This window comes from Homo sapiens, chromosome 11 (assembly GCF_000001405.40).
Source record: "Homo sapiens chromosome 11, GRCh38.p14 Primary Assembly".
NCBI lineage: Eukaryota > Metazoa > Chordata > Mammalia > Primates > Hominidae > Homo > Homo sapiens.
In genome coordinates, this window is record NC_000011.10 from 55,286,159 (window position 1) to 55,307,922 (window position 21,764).

At 34.6% G+C, this 21,764-nt stretch overlaps 2 pseudogenes across 1 annotated transcript; both read right to left on the reverse strand.

The window, feature by feature from the left end:
* Positions 1 to 7,544: 7,544 nt before the first annotated feature.
* TRIM51HP (tripartite motif-containing 51H, pseudogene) lies at positions 7,545 to 12,074 on the reverse strand (annotated as a pseudogene). The gene is made up of 5 exons (NR_038174.2): positions 11,701 to 12,074; positions 11,321 to 11,417; positions 9,074 to 9,532; positions 8,564 to 8,586; positions 7,545 to 7,598 (listed from the first exon to the last, which is right to left on the reverse strand). The product of NR_038174.2 is annotated as a tripartite motif-containing 51H, pseudogene (transcript).
* LOC100420446 (tripartite motif containing 48 pseudogene) lies at positions 16,127 to 18,003 on the reverse strand (annotated as a pseudogene).

Consider the following 21,764-nt stretch of genomic DNA (forward strand, 5'->3'; position numbering starts at 1 on the left):
AAACTTAGGAGACTGGGCAGGAGAATTGCTTGAACACTGAAGTTGCAGTCAGCTGAGAATGAGCCACTGCTCTTCAGTCTGGGCAATAAAGCAAGAAGATAGAAAGAAAGAAAGAGAAAATGAGAGAGAGAGAGAGAGAGAAAGAGAGAGAGAAAGAAAGAAAGAAAGAAAGAAAGAAAGAAAGAAAGAAAGAAAGAAAGAAAGAAAGAAAAAAGAAAAGAAAAAAGAAAAGAAAAGAAAAGAAACATCAGTTTTGTTGAGTTTTGTCTTTACGGCAAAAAACTTCAGGTTTAAGAGTATGAAATTAGGACCAATTTATACCATTAGATGATGGGTCCCGAATACTCTGAAAACCATTCTTAATGCTCATTGTGATTGAATTAGAAAAGATTGATTCAGTACAAAAGTAAAAAAGTGATTGGTTTAGGAAATGGTATTTAACTGCAATTTTACCCTCATTGTTTCATTTAGATGTCATAATTTTCTCCTTTAAAGTATTTTGAAAAATCTCAATCACAATCCACCACTGCAAAATGATTTCTAAATAACCATTATTTATTTACTGAACATTGTGAGATTTGATCAGATTTCACCCAGAAATGCTGAAGAGGCATTTAGTATACTCTAAAACAATATTATCCTCAAATTATTCAACACATTACCTAAGTTGTATATTATAGAATATTCTGTCTTGTGCATATATTTATGTGCCAACTTTAGAACAGAGGGTATTACATTTGTGTACAACATACAAAATAAAATATTCTCAATAAAATTTAGGATATACAACAAGTATGAAATTGCAAGATATCTGAAAACTATTTTCTGTGTTCTCAGAATACATAGGAACAACTAAGGAATACATAAATGATACAAGTAAAATTAATCTTCACTGTATTTCACAAGTATGTAGGAAGACAGGATGACAAAATAAGAGTAAAAATGTTTTTACTAAGTAAGCAAATGACATCACTTACAGAAACAAGCTCAGTTTGTTGGAAAATTAAACATAGTGTAGTCTGTTTTGGATTGGAAAAGTAGCAGGAACTCCTCCTCTGTTAGTTGTGTTCTCACCCTAGAAATATACTTATGGTCTCACTGAAACTTGCTGTAGAAGTAATACTATAAAGTCTGATCAGGGATCAGGGCCTCACCATATAGTGGTAGTAGCTTTCAGACATCTTCACAGCCAGTTCCAAAGCCACTCTGTGTGTCCCAGAAAAGAATGAGCTTGGCTACTTGTACCTCTTTTTATTGAATCTCTGAAAAATCACACCCATTTCAAACAGGTTGTACAGTTCTTGGAGTTTGGGATAGCCATTAGGGTTCTTGATTAGGTTTCACCAGAAGAGAGGAAATGATTGATTCAACACCTTGGCTAATCTCCATAAACAAACTTTAAACTTCCACTTATCAAGAACCACTGAGTTTACAACAAATGAAGCCTCAAATACCAAATTTGTAGATAATTTTTGGAGTCTTTTAATATTTTACTCATCAAAAGATGAGAAAGAGGATACCATCAATTTATGATTTTAATAAATGTCTTCAAAAGTCTGGAATAGTTTTTCTTTTTCTTTTTTCTTTTTTTTCTTATGTTTTTGGAAATGTTACCTGAAGTTGGCTTTAATTCTAATATTCACTGAACTAGACTGGAAAGGCACTTTGCTGTTGCTTTTGAAGCTTGATTTCAGGTTTTAAAGTATTATTGTCAATTTACATATATATTATATATTTTATATATTATATATTTTTATACATATATAATATATATGTATTTTAAATATATTTGATTATTATATGTATTTTATATATATTATGTATATATACATATATATATATTATGTATATATACATATATATATATTATGTATATATACATATATATATATATTCTGGTTCTGTAACCTAGGCTGGAGTGCGGTGGTGCAATCACAGCTCACAGCAGCCTTAAACTGCTAGGCTCAAGTGATTCTTTTGCTTCATTTTCTCACAGAGCCGAAATTACAGACGTGAGCCACTGCACGCAGCCTATTAATTCATGTTGTTGATAAAAGCATAAGAATTATCTTTATTATAATTAAGAAACAGAATATCTTTAAGGAAATATTATATCTTTTAGGAAAAATAAAATCTTCAGTAGTTGTAGACTCCTGTGAAAACCACCGTTACCAATAGCAATTTTCTGTATGTGTATATAACACATACATATGTAAATATATATAATATATACATGAATTTTTTCATATTTGGCAGTCATTTAAGAAATTCTTTTACCATATAAATTCTAATTTATATTGGTAAAAGTGAAATCAGTAAAATTTGCTGTTTAGTGAAAACTTTGTTTAGCAAGTTAAATGAAGCTGCAGAAAGTGTGAATTGGATAATAGATATAAAGATATGTCAAGAAGGCTTCACAGATGGACAAATAGAGGTAAACTAGGAGAGTGATAGTGACATAAGGAGGATGAGAGTATCATGTATGTCCTTTATAAACAGCATAATGTGTGATTGACTGTAGCACACAGTAGAGCAAAGTAGAGAAGATGAGGAGAGTACATATTCAAGGGTATAATGTTTGATAATTTTTTCAGAGTAAGCAAATGAATTGAATTCAGGAAGCCAAACAATCCCCATTTGGGATGTATAAAACATAAATTTACTTTGTTTTGAATGTGTAAAACAATATATTTTGGCTGATTTTTAGTATTTCTCTGTTTTTGTTGGCTGATTCATTATGATGTGTTTAAGCTTGAAACCACCACCGAAGATGAAGAATCTCTTAAAAGCAGCCAAAGTAAACTGTTTCATTTTGAGGGAACACTTAATAGAATGACAACAGACTGCTCCATAATCATAAATGTAAGTATAAGACAGTGGACTAACATTTGTAAATTGTCAAAAAATGTGACTGCCAATACAGAGATGAATATGGATTGGAAATACCTTTTACATAAGAGGATAAAAGGAAGATCTTGTCACATAAGTATAATTTAAAAAAGGGGGCTTTATACCCTACTAAGGGCTTCTAGAACAGTACCCATGAGATCTACTTGAAAGATAATTCCAACACCTCTGCCACATTTGAATCTGGCTTTATTAATTGCTTTTTCTCTTAACAGTGTGTCCTTTATTTACCTTTTCTGTTTCAGTATAGGTCTGGTAAGTTTTACTCAGAAAGTGAACTATGTAGAGTAGAACTAATATAGAAAGCAAAACCTGCATGTGTTCCCTTTTACTAGGCTGTATGTGTATGTTTTGAGGGAGAAGGTTGAATCAATCTAGTCAGGAGTTGATTTGGTTTTGAGACTTGTTCTTAGAGTTAATTCCAGTGCACCATAAGTTTCCTGCTCATCTAGCATTACTTTGTGTTTTGGATTGGACTGGTTCAGCAGCTTTTCTCAGTATCTGCTGTATCCTCAACTTTAAGTTTCCCTCCAAATTCTGCTCTGTCCCCCAGAAGGCACTGCTTTGCTTCATGGTTGGAACTATGGTTCCATGGTTGGAACCTTCTTAATGATCCTGTCCAACTTTCAGGTGTAGGTCTAAATCTTCCACATATTTTTTCTTTTCCCCTTTCCAAAGTTCAATTAGTTTTACCAGCATTGCAAGGGCAATGGCATTCCTTATATTTCCCTTTGTAGTTTTAGGGTTTTGTTACACAGGGGAGATGGGAGGGAAATACAGGTCTTAAAATGTGATATTCTCTGAATCTCTTCACAGACTGTAAAACAAATGTATGTGGCACATATACACCGTGGAATACTATGTAGCCATAAAAAGGATGAGTTCTTGTCCTTTTCAGGGACATGGATGAAGCTGGAAACCATCATTCTCAGCAACACAACAACAGAAAACCAAACACCACATGTTCTCACTCATAAGTGGGAGTTGAAAAATGAGAACCCATGTACACTGGGAGGAGAACATCACACACTGGGGCCTGTCTGGGGTGGGGAGCCAGGGGAGAGATATCACTGGGATTACTACCTAATGTAGATGACGGGTTGATGGGTGCAGCAAACCACCATGGTGCGTGTATAACTATGTAACAAACCGGAACGTTCTGCACATGTACCCCAGAACTTAAAGTATAATAATAAAAAAGTTTTATGTCTTAATGTTGATGTTAAATTATCATAAATTAAATTATATATATATGCATTTGAAAAAATTAGGCAAAACATCAAATTCATTTATTTCAAACTTCGTATACGTTAAAATTATATATATATATATATATATATATATATATATATATAAAATTTTCTTCTGCCTGAAAAATGCTTATAATTTCTCTCCTTGATTGCAATCCTTCCTCTATCTTATCCTGGTTAATTTTTAAGTTTCCTAACCATTACATGCGAAAACATTATTCAATATTCTAACTTCTAGCATCAATTAATGGAGTTCACAATTTATCTAAATAAAACACTGTAATATAACATTTGTGTGTTTCAAATCTTTTCTTAAACTTCTCTTTGAAATTCATTAACTTGTTGCATTTCAGTGTTATCTCTGTTTTGTAAAATTCTTCTGTACGATGAGATCACTATTTAGCAATTCTACTGTTGATGAATATTCATTTTGTCTCCAATTTGGAGCTACTAAAAAAATTGCTGCAATGAAAAACATTGTGTTTATTTTGAAATACACATAGGCAGTCTGAGGAATATATTTTAGAATTAGAATATCTAGCCCATAAGGAATGCTCATAGTCAGTTTGCCAAAAAAGTATTTCAGTTTACATCCCTCCAGCCATGAATAACTTTCATTGATTCTTTATCTTTCACAACACACTACATTATGTGTCTTTAAATTTTCCTAATTTTTATGGAGGCCTGTAGTTCAACTTATGGATTAATTTTTATTATTCTGAGGACTAATAAAAGTAATCCCTTTTTCATATTGGTCCAGATATTTATGCCTCCAATTTTATGAAGGGCCTGTTCAAATATTTTCCCAATTTTATATTAGGTTCATTTTCTTTTATTTATTACATTCATTAATCACATGTATTATATTTTATTGCATATATGTTGGGATAAATATTTTTCTCCACTCTTGGTTTGCATTTTAATTCTTGGATGGTATATTTTGAAACACAGAAGTCATCATTTTTTATGTAAACTAACTAAATTTCTCTTCTTAATTGGTCCTTTTTTGTCCTGGTTAGGAAATCTTTCTGTGTGAGAATATTTTATTGTGTTCCCTTCACCTTCAGAACATGAATCCATGTGGAAATGCACTGTGTATGGTTTGAGGTAGGGATCAGTATTCAGTTATGTCCATTTGAACATTTAATTGATCCAGCATTGTCCTGATCCCCTTGTAAATTTCACTGTGGAACAGCAGTCTAATAATGCATGAGCATTTTGTATATAAGGTGAGATTTACAAAGATAAGCCCAGCATAGGATGTCAAATAAGATTACCTCAAAGAATAGGTTCATAAACAAAACACATGGATAAGTATAATATTGTTAGATGAAGAGAAAGGAAATATTTCCAGGTTACCATTGAGTCTTTTTACTCCAAGTTTCTTCATGAAGCCCAAGATCTCTACTTTCTTCCACTGATTTTAACTTCATTTAGACAACTCTGTCATCTATTATTTCACTTTGTGACATTCAGAAATAATTAAAAACCAGAGAATATATTCTATGCCATACATCATGGGTAATGATTTTCCAAAAATGATTTAAAAAGGAACCAATACACATGGTTTTAGTGTTTTCACCATATTTAATAGAAACACTATAAATGAGTTTTGATGACATTAGAATGCAACTAAAGACATAAAATATAACTTATTTGTTCTGTTTGATGAGGTGTGAAGAAAAGAGGGCTTTCTGGGATAAACAGGTTCCCAGAGCACATAGACACATTTCTGACTTTTCTCTGGTCAGAAGTGACTACAGCAAAAGATAGGCCTGAGAGGAGGTGAGAAGGAGCAATTAGGGATGGTGTATATCAGGGAACTTTGATCAACATCAACAAAGCTCATGGTTCTACCTTCACAATCCAGGAATAATCCCACTGTGCTGGTAGGTCTTGGAACATATTGCACCACAAGTGGGGAGGTGGTAAAGAGACTGCAGTGAGTGTCCTCCTTAACACATTCAAGAAGAAAGAGTCCCTCCTCTCCATCTATCTTGTCATTCTGTCTCTTCTCTTTCCAATAATTGTTACAGACACCAAAAGCCCAATTCCAAGAGTCCCCCACGTGAACCTCCCAATAATATTTGCCAGATGTGAAAGTCTGAGCCCCCCATACAAGAAAACATTCAGATTTTGCAGTGATATCGGGATCATCTTGAGGGTCACATCCAATATTCATGCTTCTCAAATCTCCATACAGGAAGATATGACTATTGTCCCTTTCAGGCTGCAGAGTAAAATCAACTGCAAAAATAATTTTTTAAAAATATAGATACATGTAATTAATAGAAATTAGAATTCTTGAGAGAAAAGTTGTTCTACCAAGAGTTTACTTTACCAAGAAATTTGAAGTTCCAAGGACAGGAGAACTGTGACTACAACATTTAATAAAGTATAAGGATGATTAATATTCTCTATAGGAAGAACAAAACCCTAAAAACAGACATTGAAAATTTATTGAAAACTTAAAAATTGAGAGTCAAATATAAGACCAGCCTGTTTTAATCCAATCTCCTATGTGAAAGTGAAATATTTTATGCCCTGAATGCCCTTTAGCTATCAAGGTCATTATTATTAAAATATTTCTTGTTCTTAAATACTAGTGGCATAATTCTGGCAGGAATGGGAAGATTTTAGCTTACTCAAGCACCCCTCTAGATAACTGGATAAAAGTCCATATGTTCAAATTATAAGTGGTAACTTAAGGCAGATTTTTGCAAAATCTTCTACTAGTCACTTTGCGGACATCCCTGCTAGCTCTAGACTGAAACCGAATTTTGGATTTTACACGTAGCTCTTCATGTTGTAACTAAACTGAAATTATTATTTCCATGTTTACTTCCTATTTACATAATAATTTCTTCTTTCTTTTTACATGTTAAGTCAAAATTTTACATTATATCAACAATATATATTTATTGTAAGAAAGTACAAATACTCCAACAAACTGCAGTGAACTCTATTCCCCAATGAAATGTGTTTAATAATTCAAATGAAATACAGTAAAGAAGTGTAAAACTTTTATGTAACCTTGGATTACTACGCTTCCTTCTGAGCATTGTTCCATTTATTCAATTTTTTATTTCTTATGTCATTCCATTTACCCAATGTATAATTCTATCCATGTGAGCCCAGAACATATTTGTTTTTCACTATGTTGTACTCTTCATGTTATAATTTGGACTATAAATAGAAACACAGATATAAAAGGGTTGCATCGTCATATGGTTCACTTCCTGCTGAAATGAAATAAAGATTTGATGAAGGGTAAAATATTACCCCCATGATTCTAACAAGAAGTAATACACTGTGGGAATTCTGCCAATGGGCTGACACTCACCTCTGAATCTCTTGAGCCTGTCCATCAGTCCAATGATGGGCCCTGCACTGAAATCTGGATTCACAGGCTCAGACACTTGCAGCAGCAGAGACTCATACCTGCAAGGAGAAAGATAGAGTTACCACATCTACAGCCAAAAAAATACATAAAAATCACCACATTTATTTAAAAGACATTTCATGAGAATCCCTTTAATCCACACATTTGCTAATTCCAAAATTATCATTCTTTTTCAAATTCATTCTTATTCACAGTTCCTCATTTTCAAGCACGATGGAAAAGTCTCTCTGACAGAGAAATTCATTCGGATCTTTCTTCGTATTGCTCCAAATTAGTAAGGATCATTAGTCTCAAGACTAGGAGAATATTCCAAAATGAAATTCTGGGTTCCAGACCTCACCAGAAATTCCTGAAATCACTGTCTGGAAAAGTGGGGTTATTTTTAAGACTGCTGTGTCTGTTTCTTCCTTCTCAAGGCCAGGGTATTGAAACGTGCTCCAGGCAGGGAGATCTGCCTTTTATAGTTGAGGTTCTCTGGAGGCCTACACGGCTCAAACATTCCGAATAGTTTGTTTCATCTATTTTTCAGAATTATATATTTAAATATAAACTAGAAATCATCAACACTTTTCACTGCTAAAATACTTTCCCCTTTTCTCTCTGGCTTCCCCTGGTTGACTTTGTAGCCATGTAGTAAATGTAATATTTTCTCTTTCAAATATGAAGGCTTTTGAGCAATAAAAAGGAAATTAGGAATAGAGATGCTCACTTCCTTTATTTTCTTTCATTTATTTATCTTTTGTTCTCTTTCTTTTTTATTTATTTATTTGTTTATTTATTTATTTATTTATTTATTTATTTTTGGTTTTGCAGAACTTTCATTGAACTGCTTAATAAAAACACTGGCAACAAAATAGATGACTACATGGGGTGGGGGATGGAGAAAGTACAACCAGCACAAGGTAGTATCAATATCTGAATCAATTATACCTTCAATATCAAAGTTCCTGCTTGATATTTGTGGAAACTGAAAACATCTGCTAAAATCTTGGTATGCACTCACCTTTGTAATATGTCTCCAAAAGACTGTAAAAAAGAAAAAATAGAAAGGCTTAGTGCTTTCCACAAGATGCATCTTCAACTAAGTGCATTGTGAGTTATGGAGACAGTTTCTGAAGATATTATTTTCCTACAATGTTCCCTCCTGGAAAGCATTTTCTGTTTCTTTTCTCATGACAATCCCAGTCTATCATATGTCATGAATTAATGTCCTGATAAAGTCTAAGTCTTGAAGACATTCTCTTTACAAGTGAAGGGAGAGGAGGCCCACAGAGTCCATGCTCTGCTGTAACCATAAAGAAGCTACTCAGCCATCTACCCTAAGCCCTGTTACCAAAATGAGTGGACCCCAAAATAATATTAGTGTGATCCTAGATTCCCCAACTTCTCCATCATGACATGTCTCCAAATTAGCCTAAATGCCAATGAATCACTTCTCATTTTATCCACTTTCAAAAATCCTAAATAAATCACTGACTTTTGATGGGAAATATTTCTTGGGGCTGTCTGTTACCTTGGTCATTCCACAAAGTTTTGTTGCTGGTGGATAAAGTAGGAGGGACCTTCGTTCTGGTAGAATCACTAGGAGAGGCTATACCCTCCCAACCAAGTAGCATTAGTTATCAAATCGTGTTTTTGGAAACAAATCATGGAAGTAAAGGGGGAGACGGATTTCAGGAGAGAGGAAAAACACCCATGCACGTGAATCTTCATCATCATGATACCCCATGGTCAGTTCGTACTAGAGTAGCTCCACATCTGCTTTATGGCACATTTTCTTCAGATCCTCATACATTCCTCTTAAAAGCTCCCTGGAATGTTCCATTCTGGCTTTGCTTTCATTGAGTTGCTGAAAAATGTCCTCGCCCTCCTTTCACAGCCTCTCCAAATGTTGTTGTTTTTCTTCATGGAGAAATGCAGGCATCTTCTGATATTCAGCTCTGATTGCTTCTATCCTTAAACTCACATAATCCTGCAGTGACAATTAGTCAAAATAGAAATGTTTTATCCATCTTCTCTTGAATTTCACTGATTCCTCTTAGCATTCTGAAAACCCAATATTTTAATCCTCAATCTTGTTAATTCTCAGATTCCACAAAATTTTATTCCTTTCCTTTTTTTCTGTACTAATATCAACATAGTTGTTTCTGCCCAGTTACATTTACTTGATTAATGATAAAATGTTTTCTAAGATAGTTATATAAAAATGGATTTCTCTCTTTCACACCACATTTATAGAAAGAAAACACAGTTCTTGCTTAAGAATCAAACTATTGAGTTATATTGACTAGGTAAGAAACCATTATTTCTATTTTGGAGAATTGGGGCAAGTTATGTAAAACCATTATATGACAAATGATGACATGACCCAGACTAGCATTGTCAACTCAATGCATTTCACCCAGCATAACATATTCTAATAAGGTTTCATTTATTCTCTTCCAAACTCACCCTAATTGGCAACATGGACTTCTTTGTGGTTCCTCAAAGCCCCAAATAAATGCAAATTAAATATTACTGCACATGCTGTTTTCTATACCTAGAATTATTTTCATATATATATACATGTTTCTCATATATGTGCTCATATATATATTTCTCAAATAAAGGTATATATGGATATATGAGGAATATATACATGTATGTGTGTGTATATATATGTTCCTCAAATATATCCATATATATATATACCAACACCCAGATACTCATATATATTCATATATTTACGAGGAAGAGGAAGGTAAACAGGAGGATATACATATTTCCTCCTGATCAAGATTTTGTTTCAGTGTGAATTTTTCCATGAGCCTTTTTTTCTGACCACCCTATTTAAAACTCAAACCCTCATCCCCAGTCCCTGGCCTCTGTGCTCCTTTGGATTATTCTCCAAAGACACTACTACACTCTAACACATCATGTACTTCACATATCTGCATGGTGACCATTTGCTTTTCTCATTTCCATGGCATGATTTGTGTGTTTTCTTTCTTCTTTACACCTTAATTTTCTAAGTTGATATTTGACATAGACTAGGTACTCATAAAATATCTTTCAATGAATTAATATTAGAATAAATTAATGAAGTAATATTAGATATCATACCCTCAATATAAACATCCACAAAGAGAAAATCATTTCTAGAATTCTTCTCAAGTCCTTAGAGTTCTCCTTATATTAAATACTAGTTCCCATGTTTCTCACATATTTCTGTCTTCATCAAGACACCAGTCTACATTTCTCGCCACATTTCCCGTTATGTGTTATGACTTATTCAATATTAATTAGTGCTGATATTTCATTTCATGCTTTCCCTAAGGTTGCACTCTTGCTCCTTCTGCCTGAAATTTAGCTCACATTTCAATGTACTTGCCCACCAGGATTCAAATTCCTACTGACTCAGCCTTAGAAGGGTCACCTGAAATTTCCATGACTGACAAATAACTCTTGTGTCCAGAATTTATCCAGGCAGCCCATTGGGAACAGTGTGAAATGGCCCAGTTTCTTGTATTTGTTGGGGTATTCCTATAGGTTTGTATGGAAACAGATGAGCATGCTTGGGTAACATCTGTGGTCTGATTAGAAATCCTACCAAAGAGTCACACTAACTTATATAAGCAATTAGGGTGTTTTTTTCTCAAGTGTTTTTTCCTTGTTTATTGAATTCCGGAAAGGTTATGGGTTGAGATCAAGTTCCGATTTTAAGAGTCACCCATTTGTTCACTATAAGTTCCCGGAGAAGGTAGAGTAATACGGTACTAACCTTCCAGCATCTTGTTCTGGTGGTTTCCATGTTCAGGTTTCTGAGATTTTCACAAGCTTTTTCCCACAAAGACTGCATTTTTTTTTAGGAGCTCCTCCTGAAAAAGAGCCATGAATTGAAGCACAAGTGAGGACAATAAAGTATCATTCACACTCTCATATATGAAGGACCCCAAATGAGAGACAAATTAGCCCACAGAAAATAGAGTTTGCTTTGTTTCTCCTCATGTTTGTCAAACGTGAGAAGTGTGAAGTCAAGGAAGCTCATAACAGACATGCTTAAGGGGACACAGAGATGGCATCATCCAATCTCCAAGGAAATAGACTTACAAGAATTTCATGTGTCCTGTATAGAAATAGATCTTCAGAGGCATCACTTACCCGGCGTTCCTCAGCAGCCCACTCAATGGGACAGTGTCTGTGATTCCGGTGCTCCTGAGAGTTGGAATACAGCAAACAGAGCAGGCTCTTGTCCACTTCACAGAACATCTTCTTTGTCTCTCTGTGCATCCCACATATTTGCTCTTCAGAGCTAAGGAATTGCCGGAGGCTGGCTTTTCTGGCAATGGAAGCCATGTTCTTCAAACAAATGTCAGTGTTGAGGTTTCTCTGCCATGTTGTCTCCTTGCATTTAGAGCACTGAGCAACAACTGCCATGTCTTGCCAGTTGAGGTAGAAACAGGGCCGGCAAAAGCTGTGCCCACAGTCTATGGTGACTGGGTCTAGGAAGTAGTTCATGCAGATGGGACAGGTGAGTTCCCTCTGGAAGACTTGCAAGATTCCAGAATTCATGTTTCTGAAGAAGAAAGAGCAGCATGTCATTTTGGGGTCTGGCTTGGTGAAAATCTGTGAACATGTGGTGATACGTGATAGCTATATTTTCTTCTTGACAGTGCTCATTAAAGTGGAACAAACTATTTCCTCTGTAACAAAAATGAAAAATTCATACACGAAGAGAGTCTTCAGGCTTTTTAGCAGACACTACTGACTGGATGACTCACAACCTCTTCTACTCCTAGTTCCTGCCCATAACATAATGCAAACCTGTTCAAAAACCTATTCCCTGGATGTCGATATGAAACTCGAGTTTTAATCTTAAGTGGTCTAGAATAAAACCTGCTTGTCCCTATTTCTCTTTCAAATAACTACTGAATGACTATGGGAGAGGAGTAGAAAACCTACATTGGGTAACAAAACATGAGAAGATGGTCCGAGGGCGCTATGACATATTTTTAGAGAGAGAGACCCAGAAGCCGGCTCTTTAAAACAAAAACAACCCCAGAACAAACCAACCGACCAGATAAACAAAAAGACAGCAATTAAACCAGTCTAGGATCACAAGGAGATAAAATAAATAATGAAAAATATTGGGTTTATTTTTCTTATGGCTTAAATTAACTTCTTTTTGGGCTACTCAAACTATGAACTGACATATAGTCAGTTTTTTAAAAACTGAAATATATACAGTTATATTACTATGGTATTATGGTTAATTTTAAGTGTTGACTTGACTGGACTAAATAATACATGGAGAATTGGTAAAGCATTATTTCTGGGTGAGTCTGTGAAGGTGTTTCCAGAGAGACATGTAAGTTGGTGAGCTGAGTGAGGAACAGCAGCCCTCAATGTGGGTGGACACTATCCAATCAGCTGGTAGCTCAGACTGAAGATAAAGGGCAGAGAGAAAGCAGTTTCCTCTCCTTCTCTTGAAGCTGATTCTAACTCAGCCAGGAAATCGGTATCTCCAGGACACAACATTAATGACAGCCTATGTTCAACTTCTCAGACTTCATAATCAAGGGAACAAATTCCCCTAGTGGACTTCCTCTCCTGTACAGTGTCATGTGTAGAGTGAGGACAGATATATGATCTGAGGGACGCATTAGACAGTCTCGTTATTGTTTGAACATCATAGGGTATACTTACACAAACCTAGATGGTATAGCCTACTACACACCTATGGTATATAATATAGCATATTGTTCCTAGGCTACAAACCTGTATGGTATACGAAGGCAATTGTACCACAATTGTAAGTATTTTTGAGATATATATATATATATATATATATATATATATATATATAGTTATGAACACATCCTATGGTTCTGTCTCTCTGGAGAACCCTGACCAATACAAAATGTAATCTTTGCCTTGGCAGTTTGAAGTCCTTTACCTTACTCTCTTTTACTAAACACTGCTGAATTTAAGTGCCAACAGTGAAAATTTAAGAATTGCAAACATTTTTCAGAGGTCATCTGAGCCATTTCAAGGAATTTTTCATAGTTTCATCTGAGGTAAGCCTCAGTTAAAATGACAACTAGTATCAAGTATCAAATCATTCCTTATACAGTTATCTGCTAAACAATTGTGTTTTGATTTCTAAGCTAAGGTATTTTTGGGAGCATTCTTATTTCCTTTAGTATCACCATTTTTAACTCATCATTGCCTCAGTAGCTTAAAATCATGTCTAAAAGCTTCAGGTTATGAAAGCACAACATTTACAGTATTCAATAATTATCCTTTTTTACTTAATTAAGTGTAGCAATATTAGTACATTCAGTACACATATATATGTTTTAATGTGAATTCCATATATTCATGATTCATACATATATATTGCAGCAAACACTAGATATCTAAAATTTTTCAAAAATATATTAAACACTTTTGGAACATACAAAATGACAACAATTAATAACCTCATGTCATAAAATGAATAGCAATAATATGAGTTACAAATAAGATCATTCAGTAAGTTTAGACAGTTAGATATTTTTATCACTGTAATTTACTATTTTAAAGGAAGAGAGAAGTAATTTTCTCCATAGAAGTTGCACTCACCCCAAGGTTCTATGAATGTTTCCTGCAGTAATTCTTCCAAGAAAAAATTCTTTTAAGTACTCCCCAAGATCAGGAGCTCATTCCCTGCTGAGTTGACTTTCAGAGGTCATCACCTGAACGCAGTTAACTCTAAGTGCTGTCCTCCTCTGGAGAAATATGAGCTTGTCTCTTCTACATCCATTTAGGTGAATCTTTGAAGACCACAACCACCTATTTAGTGATATTTAGGGTGTTAAGAAAGGTGGAGACAGAGATGATTAGGTTTATGCAATATGTAGTACATGCCTTTTCATCACTGATTAAATTAGCATCACACTATCATTGTAAAAACCACTGCCTGAATGAGGCATATCTATCATCAATCTTATCAGAGTAAACATGCTAGAAATTGACTGAAATTGATTAATGCTGTTTCCTGAATTTCTTCCAAAGACACAAGCATTCCTCTAAGTGCACATTTATTTATTTATTTATACCAAAGAAAGTTTCAGCCTCTGGAGTGCAGTGGCGCAATCTTAGCTCACCGCAGCCTTGAATTCCAGGGCTCAAGTAATCCTCCCACTTCAGCTTTCAAAGTAAAAAAGACTAGAGGTTTATGCCATTGCACCTAGCTAATTTTTCATTTATTCATCAAAAATATTTTTAAAATTCTTAGGTGATTACATGTGTTACAGTGACCAGCTGGATTAGAATTAGATTAGGTTTAAAACGATGGAAGAATCTGGAAGAGGGGGCAGAGTGTTGGTTGTTAATTAGCACATGGATCAAAGGAGATTACTGATGTGTTTAGAAGCCACAACATTGACAGAATAAAAGCCGGAACTAACAATCCAATGGTAAATCTCTTTACTGTGGTATTTTCTGCCATTTCTGCTCCATAAGACACACCTTAAGCACTTTGTTGTGGTATCCCCAGTATTCTATTTTAGTCTAAATAGCATTTTCTCTCAACTGCGCTCTATTTCTCTGTCCTTCATCTTCCCTCCCTTCTTCCTTCCAGCTGTATTTCTTCACTAGAGAACACTAGTAGAATGTTCTCCCAAATTTCAGATTTCAGATATGCATCTGTAAAATGATCTTATGGAGACACATTTTAGTTGCTACTGAATACTTGGTTGTTTTCATAAGTTCACAGCATTACTACTGTCCTCCAAAAAACGGTTTCCCATTTCCACAGCTAATCTCATCATTGACTCTGCCATCCAAGTTTATTCTATGCCACTCTGGAAGAATCTGGAAAAATACTTAAAATACATTTTAAGTATTCATCATGCACATGTATTGTATTTTATTTTATATATGTTCGGGTGAATATCTTTCTCCACTAATTGTTTGCATTTCAATTCTTGTATCATGTTTTTTGAAACACAGAAGTCGTCATTAATATAAACCAACTAATTTTTTTAATTGTTAATTTTTGTCCTGGTTAAGAAATCCTTATGAGAATATTGTATCATGTTCCCCTTACCTTCAGAACTGGAATCTATTTGGAAATGACTGTGTGTGTTTTGAGGTAGGAGTCAATATTTAGTTATTTTTTAAAATTCAATTAATCCAGCATTGTTCTGACCACCTTGTGTATTTCAATGTAGAAGAGCACACTAATAATGCGGGATTATTTATCTATGTGGTGAGAATTCCAAAATGAAGCCCAGCATGGAAGGTCAAATAATATTAACTCAAAGGATAGATTAGTAAAATGAAATGTGATGGATAAGTGCAGTATAGTTAGGTAAAGAGAAAGAAAAACATTTCCCAGCTATCATTAAGACTTCACTCCAAGTTTTGCATGAAGCAAAAGATCCCAATTCTCTTCCATTGATTTTAACTCCATTCAGACATGTCTGTCATCTATTATTTCACTCAGTGGCATTCAGAAATGAAGAAAAAAACCAGAATATATTTTATGCCATGATCATGAATAATGGTTTTTCAAAAATTAATAAAGAACCAATACATATACTTTTGGTGTTTTTACCATTTTTAATAGTAACACAATAAATGAGTTTTAATAACATTAGGAGGCAATTCGAGACATAAAACAGAACCTATTTGTCCTGTTTGATAAGGCACAAGGAAGAGAGCTTTCTGGAATAAAGGGGTTCTCACAGCAGATGAACACATTTCTGATTTATCTCTGGTCAGAGGTGAATACACCGAAAGATAGGCCTGAGAGGAGGTGAGAAGGCACAATTAGGGTTGGCGTATATAAGGCAGCTTTGATTAACATCAAGGAAGCTCACAGTTCTGGCTTCACAATCCAGGAATAATCCTATGTGGCTGGTAGGTCTTGCGATATATTGCAGTGTAAGTGGGGAGGTGGTAAAGAGACTGCACTGAATGATGTTCTTGACACATCCAAGACTAAAGAGTCCCTCCTCTCCATATATATGGTCATTCTGATTCTTCCCTTTCCAATACTTATAACAGACACCAAAAGCCTAATTCCTAGAGTACCCCACATGGACCTCCCAGTAATATTTGCCAGAGGTGAAAGTCTGAGCACCCCATGCAAGAAAACTTGTAGGTGTTGCAGTGATATGGGGTGGATTTGGATGGTCACATCCAATACACATGCTTCTCAAATCTCCACATCGAAAGATATGACTGTTGGCTTATCATGATTCAGAGTAATATCCACTGCGAAAATAAATAAATAAATAAATAAATGAGAAAGAAACAAAACATGCATAGACATGTGTCAATAAGCAAAAATTGTTCTATCAAGAAGTTAATTTACCAGGAAATGTAAAGTCACAAGGACAATTTTGCTTGTAACTTCTAATAAAGCATAGAGATGATTAATTTTAACTACAAGACAAACAAAACACTAACCACAGATATTAAAAATGTTTTGAAAACTTACATATTGAGAGCCAAATGTAAGACCAACTTCTTTCAATCCAATTTTCAAAGCAAAATTTGCACATTATATGCCCTAAATGCTATGCTGTTATCAAGATCATTATTTAGAAATGTTTCTTATTCTTAAAAACTAGTGCTATCATTTTGGAAAGAATGTGAAGATTTTCAGTTACTCAAGAACTGCTCTTGATGACTGGATAAAAATCCGTAAGTACATGTCATAAGTGACAATTTAAAGCAGATTTCTGTAAAATCTTTTACCAGTCTCTCTGTGGTCCTCCATGCTAGCTTGGGGCTGAAGCTGGATTTTAAACTTAACCTGTAGCTTTTCATATTGCAATTAAACTGAACTTCTTTTTGTTTGTAATTTTACTTGTATTCACAAAATGATTTCTTCTTTTTATGTTGACCCATTAACTAATTTTTTTTTGGCAATTCATGATACATATCCATTTAAAAAATTAAAAACCCCCAGCAATCCCCAGTAAACCATAATCCCCAAAACAACAGTTCTTAGCTGTTCAAATGAATACACTAAGGAAACGTAAAATTTTGTATTTAACATTAAATAACTCACCTTCATTCTGAGCATTGTTCAATTTGCTCCTTTTTTAAATTTGCTACACTACTCCTTTTTCCCATTACATTACTCAGTACATATGAGGCCAAAATGTATTTGTTTTTCACTATCTTTCAAACTTAATGCTATAAATCTGACTGTACAGACACAGATACAGAAGGGTTGCATGATTATGTTGTCCACTTACGTCTATAAAAAAGTAAAATATTTGATAAAGGGTGAAATATTACCTATGTGGTCCTAACAATAATAATATTTAGATAGTGGGATTGCTACCTATGGGTGGAGACTTACCTCAGAATTGCATGAGCCTGTCCCTCAGTCCAGTGATGGGCCCTGCCCTGAGCTCTAGATTCAGAGGCTGGGGCATGTGCAGCAGCACGGACTCACTCCTGCAAGGAAAAACCTGCAGTTACAACATCTACAGCCATAAAATAAATAAAAATAACTATTTCTATTTAAAATACAGTTCATGAGAATCCTTTGAATCAACAAATTTGATTATTCAAAAATTATTCCTTCCTTTTTGGAATTAATTTCTATTTACAGTTTCCAAATTTTAAAGCATAGTGGGAGAGTCTGAGTCAGAATTCAGTCTGATCTTTCTTTTTTTCTGCCCCACATGTGTAAGTATCCTTAGCCTTATGGCCTTGAGAATATTTAGAAATGAAATTCTGAGTTCCACTTCTTGGCAGACTCCACTGACATCTTTGTCTGAAATAGCTGGGTTCTGGGGAGACTGCTGCATCTGCTGCTTCCTTTTCAAGATAAAGAATGTGAAACTTGTTCTAAGCAGCTAGACCTGCCTTTTAGAAACAAGCTTCCCTAGAGACTTATACAGTTCTAACACTCTACAGTTTTTTCAACCTATTTTTCAGGACTGTTAACTGATATGTATGTAGGTATGAACAACAAATCATCAACTTTTTCACTGCTAAAATTCTTCCCCCACTTCTCTCCTGCTTCCTCTGGTGACTTTCTCACCATCCAGAAAATAAAACTTTATCTTTCACCTATGCAGGCTTTTAAGCAATAAAACAAAATCAGTAATAAACATTTTTTTATTTCACTATTTATTTATTTATTTATTTATTTATTTATTTATTTAGTGTTCTTGTCTTTTTTGGTGTGAGAGTGAAAGCAGATGCAAAAAAAAAGGTAGTATCAATATCTTAATCATTTATGCCATGACTTTGGTAGAGCCTGCTTTGATATTCATGGAAACTGAAAGAATATATGCTAAAATCTAGGTAAATACTCACCTGTGTAATATGTCTCCAAAACCCTGTAAGAAAAACAGAAATATGTAGGACATTTCACAAGATGCACCTTTCACTAAGTTCAGTGTGAAATTTGGAGTCAGTTTCTAAAGATATTATTTCCTTACCATCTGGAAAGCATTTTCTATCTCTTCTGTAATGAAAAACCCAGTGAGTCGTTTTGTCATTAATTAATGTCCTGGTAAAGTCTGAGTCTTGAAGACATTCTCTCCAGGAGTGAAGGGAGAAGAGGCCCAGAAAGTCCATGCTCTGTGGTAGCTTCAAATAACCTACTCAGTCATCTTTCCCAGAACCTATTACCCAAATGAGGTGACCTCAAAATATTATTAATGTGAGCCTAGATTCCCAAAACTTCTGATCTTGCCATGTCCTCAAATTAACCTAAATGTAAATGAATCACTCATTATTTTATACATGTTAAACACCCCAAAATATATTACTGACTTAGAAATGATTCAGAAGGTGCATTTCTCTAACATGTTTGTACCAATATAGGAGTTGGTCAAGAAGAAGACTGACATCTTCAACAAGTGAATTTTACCTCTGTGTGCAGGAAACTCCAATTTATTGCCATGTCCCATGCAGCACGAAAGCCGGAAGAAAAGTAGGAGGGAGAAGAGTATTTGGCTTTAAGGAAATCACCTGGTGTTTCTCACAATGCTTTTATTCCCGTCCTATAGGTTCAAAATTAGGCAGATGGGACACCAAGTTGTAATGTATCTGGGAATGCTGTTTGCACTCTAAGCCATATTTATTCTTATCATTTAATTCAGAACAAATTAAATGACTGGCACAACTGAGAATAACCCAAGAGATTTGTTCAATGAAACAAAGCTGAACCTCAACCAAATAGATAAGCTGCTGCCTAAGGTTAGCACCAGTTCTTAGTTACTCAAGAGTGAGTAAACCCTGCTTTTTACCACTGTCGAGGTGTCCAGTGTTGTCCTTTTTAGAGCCTGGCTAGCTGAGGCTTATGTGGCAAGAAACATCTTATTTGTGATTTAGTCCCTTAAATGAACGATTTGGATAGGAATGATTCTCCAAATTTTGAAAATACTTATCAGAAATATTCTCTTATTCCTTCACTCTATGCCACGTAGACTATAATAAACTGTCTCTCTTCTGCCTCCACATATTTCATGCAGAAGATTAGGGCTTAGCAGAGAGAAAGCTTATTACCAGCTTCTTTTGGACTCGCTGCTTTTTTCCAAGTGATCTGAGATGATAAAATTACTCACCTTAGGTCTCCAACCCAGCACTCCTTTTTGATTGTCACCTATGTTTTGCGAGCTTTTCTGTTGATGCTAAAACTCTATGCAACAATCAAAGCCTCAAAATTTAATTACATTATTTGTTGCTAGATTTCAAGGAAAAATTTATTCCTGACATTCTTCTACTTTAGCTCAGATTCACTTTGGCAGAAAGACAGAATTAGCTACTCTACGATCACTTAGTATTTGACTCTGATTTTGGAAGATGAAACAGTTTTTGTGTCTATTTACCATATTTTCTTAGCCATTTAACCAAGATAATCTTATCATATTGATTCTCCTAGAGATACTTACTTTATTTATTCTCTTCACCTATCAGAATTTATGTTAGAATATCACCAAGACTTACTTACAATTGAAATAAATCAAAGAGAGAACACTAAGAACATTGTCAATCATTAATACATAAATCTTGAACTTCCTGAGATTTTTATCCCTAAAAGAAGTTATTTATCAATAGCCTGGTTACAGTTTTTTTTAATACAAGAATTTTCACTCTTCTATGGTACAAAAAGTAAAAATTGATAAAGAGGATAACTTGGAAAAAAATTAATCTAACAAAACAGAGACACATTCTTGGCTAGCACTTTATTTCTGTACTAAATTTAGGAGACATGTAAATGGTAGGTTTCCTAAGTGAAATAAGACAGACACACAGAGAAAAAATACTTCATGGTCCCACTCATATTTGAAATCTATTTTTATAAGTTTAATACATTCAAAAAGGTGGTTATATTGGTGGGAAGAAAATAGGTAAATGAAGGGCAAAAGTTGTAAAGGTGCAGTAATGTAGAATAAATGAATCTGATGTACAACCTGTAGGTATATTAGATAATCTTGTATTGTTTTTGGGAAATATTCTGAGGGACTAGATTTTTGGTGTTCTTATCATCAAGAAGAAGCAGAGCTAAGTGATATGATCGATTTGTTAATTTTCTTCATTATAGTGATCATTTCCTTATGCACATGTATCTCAAAATGACATATTGTGCGCCTTGAAAATATAAAATAAAACAAATTTAAAAATGAAGGTAATTTTGTTCCTGCATGTAAGCTGACAATAAGTGAAGACTGGATCAGTAATAACATTGCTTTGCTGAATTAAGGGAATTCTAATGAAATTTTTTAGTTGGGAAGCTATCTGTATGAAATAAAATTGATCTAAAGCTGGTTACAGTGGCCATAGTTACAATCTCAGTGCTTTGGCAGGCCAAGGCAGAAAAATCAATGGAGGCCAGGAGTTTGAGATCAGCCTGGACAATATAGTAAGACCTTATCTCTACTAAAAAATAAACAGAAAATTAGAAAATTAGTGGTGGTGTGCACCTGTTGTCCCAGCTTCTCAGGAGGCTGAGTTGGGAGGATTGCTTGAGTCCAGGAGCATAAAACTGCAGTGAGTTCTGATTGTGCCATTGCACTCCAGCCTGGGTGACAGAGTGAGAACTTGTCTCAAAAACAGCAACTAATTATTTTTGGTAGCCATGTTACCTGAAAAGTATAATTCTTTCTTCTACAATTAATAAATCTGCATGTGTCTAGGCCAGCTATATCAGGTAGAGCTTTTCCTCTAGTGCTTATATCTACAAAACAAGTAAGACAATTATG